This window comes from Homo sapiens, chromosome X, assembly GCF_000001405.40.
Source record: "Homo sapiens chromosome X, GRCh38.p14 Primary Assembly".
Lineage (NCBI taxonomy): Eukaryota > Metazoa > Chordata > Mammalia > Primates > Hominidae > Homo > Homo sapiens.
The window spans coordinates 46,437,913-46,443,018 of record NC_000023.11 but is presented as its reverse complement, the minus strand read 5'-3'; the positions used below and the strand labels follow the sequence as shown (position 1 = coordinate 46,443,018).

At 46.8% G+C, this 5,106-nt stretch overlaps 1 pseudogene; it reads left to right on the top strand.

Annotated features, from left to right (window-relative positions):
- GAPDHP65 (glyceraldehyde 3 phosphate dehydrogenase pseudogene 65) lies at nucleotides 2,234–3,507 on the top strand (annotated as a pseudogene).

Genomic DNA, 5,106 nt, shown 5'->3' with positions numbered 1-5,106 from the left:
GGAGCAGTGCATCTCAGACTTGAATGCACATTGGTATCCCCTTAAGGATCTTGTTAAATTGGGGATTCTGATTCAATACTTCTGTAAAGGGCCTGAAATTCTGCATTTCTAACAAGCTCCCAGGTGATGCTATTACTGCCGGTCCTCAGACTATGCTTTCAGTCAAAAGAAGATTTGAGCAACCCCCTGGTTTAGCAGCTGTGGCTTCCAAGCAGGAGAATTTCCTTAAACACATATCTACCTACACACACACATACACACACACACACACACACACACAAAGACACAGCAGGTGTGTTCTCTGAGTCTCACTTCTGAGACCCCTTAACAATTCCCTTCTGGGGTGAAGAGTCTGAGGCCCAAGGAGGGAAAAGACTCCTCAGGGAGTTATTAGCAGACTGGAACTAGGACCCATTCCACTTGACTTCTCAGCCAGTGTTCCTCCCTTCCACGTTCCTTCCTCTGTTGCATGAGGGTTTCTGGGGAGAACAGTAGTAAAGGAATGGGCATTGTTCAATATCACATTATTCATGACTTTGCAGGAAGAAAACAAGGTGATCCTCATTCCAGATCTTCTTGCCCACCATGCTGTACTGAACACATGATTTAGCTGCCCGGGAGGATCCAACTGTACTGTGCCTAGGAGAAAGGTCAAAATGGTTCCCTTCAGAAATCTGCTTGCCCATGCAGCTACCATCCTGGGGAAAATGTAACTACAGCAACCTCTCAGATGCTCAGATACCATTTGTAAGCCCGGTTGCTTGTCCACAAACTCCAGGAACTACCAGTAACTAGATGCTTACTACAACTTTTGTAGTACTATGGTTAGGCCAAACTACTGATTAGACCCAAAATTTAATGGCTCAGATACAGTCTCTTTCTTGCTCACACAAGAATCAACCATGGGTATTCCATATTGACAGGCAGTGCCCCTTCATGTAGACCCAGCCTGTTATCATCTCTGCCCTCTTCAAAATGGCTTCCAAGGCACTCTGGTCATCATCATTCCTGGAAGTAAGAAAGAACGTGGACGAGCATAGCTCAGGGTTTACAACTAGCTTTCAGGATAACCATGGTCAGGAAATTGTTTCTGCCACCCAGAGGTCAGAAAATTGCAGAAAGCCATTGCTGATAGCATGAGTATCCCATTGGCCCCAGGATGACTAGCTTAGAAAGGAGTTTAACAGGGTGCTGTGAAAACTCACATCTACTCTTCCTGCTAGAGGAAAAGTATGGCTTCTAGCTCCCTTCTGTCTTCCAAATTTTCTTCAGAGATTGCATTCGCAAGGGAGTCTGAGAAATATTGTCTCAAGGCCTCCAGTCTCTGAAATCCAGGGAAGGGAATAAGAGTGGGAATGTTGTGGAGTGTCAATAGACAATACCTGGTGCATCTTTGAAATTCACATTAAAGTTGAAAGATTTATCTCCCTTTTCTTCCTTCCAAACTGAAGTAGAAGACTGCAGAACCCTCTAGTGTCGCTGCAAACTGAGGCGTCAGCTGCTGAGGCAAGCAACAGTGGTTTGTGTCATGAAATTTTCTTTTCCAGGCCCTAAACTCCCTGGGTATAAAGTTAGTCCTAGTTTATATTCCCCAGTATTCTTGTTCCACTGGTTTAAATGTGTCCCCCAAAATTCATGTGTTGGAAAGTTAATCCCCAGTGGAACATTGTTTAGGTGGGGCCTTTAAGTTTAGGAGGCGAGTAGGATTAATGTGGGACGGGGTTCATTATTGTGGGAGTGGAGTTCTTATAAAGGATGAGTTTGTCCCCCTCTCTTGCTCTGTCTCTCCTCTGTGATGCCTCCTGCTATGTTATGACACAGCAAGAAGGCCTTCATCAGATGTGATGTGGCCCTTCAGTCTTGGACTTCCCAGACTCCAGAACCATGACCCAAATAAATTCTGTTAACTAAAAATTACCTAGTCTGTGGTATTCTGTTATAGCAGCATAGAATGAACTAAGACAGAAAATTGGAACTGAGAAGTGGGGCAATTGTTATAAAAAATACCTGAAAATGTGGAAGCACCTTTGAAATTGGGTAATGGTTAGAGGCTGGAAGAATTTAGAAGAGCAGACTAGAAAAAGCCTAGATTGCCATAAATGGAGCATAAAGGTCATTTCTGGTGAGGGCTCAGAAGAAGACAAGAGCTGTAGCAAAAGCCTAAATCTTCTTAGAGATTAGTTAAGTGGACATTTTATTACATCATTCTTGCATTGCTGTAAAGAAATACCTGGCTCTCTGCTCCTCTTGTTCGACAGACAACCACATCTTCTCTTGCATTGCCAGCCGCATCCATGAGACACCATGGGGAAGGTGAAGGTCGGAGTCAACGGATTTGGTCGTATTAGGCGCCTGGTCAGCAGGGTTGCGTTTAACTCTGTTAAAGTGGATATTGTTGCCATCAATGACCCCTTCATTGACCTCAACTACATGGTCTACATGTTCCAGTATGATTCCACCCATGGCAAATTCCATGGCACCATCAAGGCTGAGAACGGGAAATTTGTCATCAAATGGAAATCCCATCACCATCTTTCAGGAGCAAGATCCCTCTAAAATCAAGTGGGGCGATGCTGGTGCTGAGTACGTCGTGGAGTCCACTGGCGTCTTCACCACCATGTAGAAGGCTGGGGCTCATTTGCAGGGGGGAGCCAAAAGGGTCATCATCTCTGCCCCCTCTGCTGATGCCCCCATGTTTGTGATGGGCATGAACCATGAGAAGTATGACAACAACCTCAAGATCGTCAGCAATGCCTCCTGCACCACCAACTACTTAGCGCCCCTGGCCAAGGTCATCCATGACAACTTTGGTATCGTGGAAGGACTCATGACCACAGTCCACGCCATCACTGCCACCCAGAAGACTGCGGATGGCCCCTCTGGGAAACTGTGGCATGACGGCCACGGGGCTCTCCAGAACATCATTCCTGCCTCTACTGACGCTGCCAAGGCTGTGGGAAAGGTCATCCCTGAGCTGAACGGGAAGCTCACTGGCATGGCCTTCCATGCCCCCACTGCCAATGTGTCAGTGGTGGACCTGACCTGCTGTCTGGAAAACCCTGCCAAATATGACAACATCAAGAAGGTGGTGAAGCAGGCGTTGAAGGCCCCCCTCAAGGGCATCCTGGGCTAAACTGAGCACCAGGTGGTCTCCTCCGATTTCAACAGTGACACCCCCTCCTCCACCTTCAATGCTGGGGCTGGCATTGCCCTCAACGACCACTTTGTCAAGCTCATTTCCTGGTATGACAATGAATTTGGCTACAGCAACAGGGTGGTGGACCTCATGGCCCACATGGCCTCCAAGGAGTGGGACTCCTGGACCACCAACTCCAGCGAGAGCACAAGAGGAAGAGAGAGACCCTCACTGCTGGGGAGTTCCTGCCACACTCAGTCCCCCACCACACTCCCCTCCTCACAGTTTCCATGCAGACCACTTGAAGAGGGAGGGACCTAGGGAGCCCCACCTTGTCGTGTACCATCAGTAAAGTCCCCTGTGCTCAGCCAAAGAAAAAAAAAGAAGAAAAGAAAAGAAATACCTGAGGTTGGGTAATTTATAAAGAAAAGAGGTTTAATTGGCTCACAGTTCTGCAGGCCGCACAAACATGGTGCCAGCATCTGCTTGGCTTCTGGGGAGGTCTCAGGGAGCTTTTACTCATGGTGGAAAGCAAAATGGGAGCAGCCATGTCATATGGTAAGAACAGGAGCAAGAAACAGCGAAGGGGAAGATGCCACACACTTTTAAACAACCAGATCTTGTGAGAACTCACTATCACAAGGACAGCACCAAGAGGATGATGCTAAACCATTCATGAGAAATCCAGCCCCATGATTCAGTGACCTCCCACCAGGCCCCACCTCCAACATTAGGGATTACAATTGAACATGTGATTTATAGGGGACAACATCCAAACTATATCAGTTGTGATCAGAATGTTGGTAGAAATACAGACAGTAAAAGCCATTCTGATGAGGTCTGACAGAACTGAGGGACAAGGTATTGGAAACTGGAGTAAAGGCCATCCTTGCTATACATTTGCGAAGACTTTGGTGGAATTTGTGTTCATGTCCTAAGATTTTGTGGAAGGCAGAACCTAAGAGTGATGAACTAGGATATCTGGCAGAAGAAATATCTATGCAGTAAAGTGTTCAACATGCTGCATGGCTTCTTTCGGCTGTTCACAGTAAAATCAGAGAAAACAAATGATTTAAAGGCAGAATTTATAATTAAAAGGGAAGCAGAATGGAAAGATTTGTAAAACTTCCAGTCTGGCATGTAAAGAATAAAAAAGGATGCTTGAGAGAGAATACTAAGGGTGTGGCCAAGCCACTGTTTGCTAAAGAGATTAATATGGATAGAAAGTTCTGTTCATCAGTATATTGGGGAGAATGACCCCAAAGGGATTTCGGAAATCTTAAAGGCAAGCTAGGATTTTGAAAGCAGGGTTTCCAGAGAGTTCCCTGCAGGACCTCAGCATTCACTGCCCTGTGCCAACTTGGGACTCTGCCCCCTGAGTTCTGCACAGTGCTCCTCAGCCACCTGGCCATGGCTCAAGAAGGCCCAGGTAGGGCTCATCCTACCACTTCAGAAGGTAGAAGCTGTAAATCTTGCTGGCGTCCACAAGAAGCTAATTCTGCAGGCATTCAGAATGTAAAAACTATAGGGCCATGTCAGATTTCAAGGATGTAATGGACAGCTTGGCAGCCCCGGCAGACTTGTCACAGAAGTAGAGCCACCACAGAGTCCTCCTAGGGTATTACTTAGTGGAGTCATTGGAGTGGGGCATCTCCTGAGACTACAGAACTGTAAGGCTAGCAGCATGCAACTCCAGCCTGGGAAAGCTGCAGGCATGAGACTTCAACCAGTGAGAGCTCCTGGGTGGTCTGAGCCCAGCAAAGCCATAGGGGCAGCACTGCCCGAGGCCTTAGGGGTCAAACCCCCACCCTAGTGTGCCCAGGATGTAGGGCATGGAATCAAAGGAGATTCTTCTGTCTTCTTAAGTTTCAATATTACTTTCCTTCTTGGGTTTTGGACTTATTGGGGATCAGTTACCCCTTTATTTTTGCCTCTTTCTCGCTTTTGGAATGAGAATGTCTATCTTATGC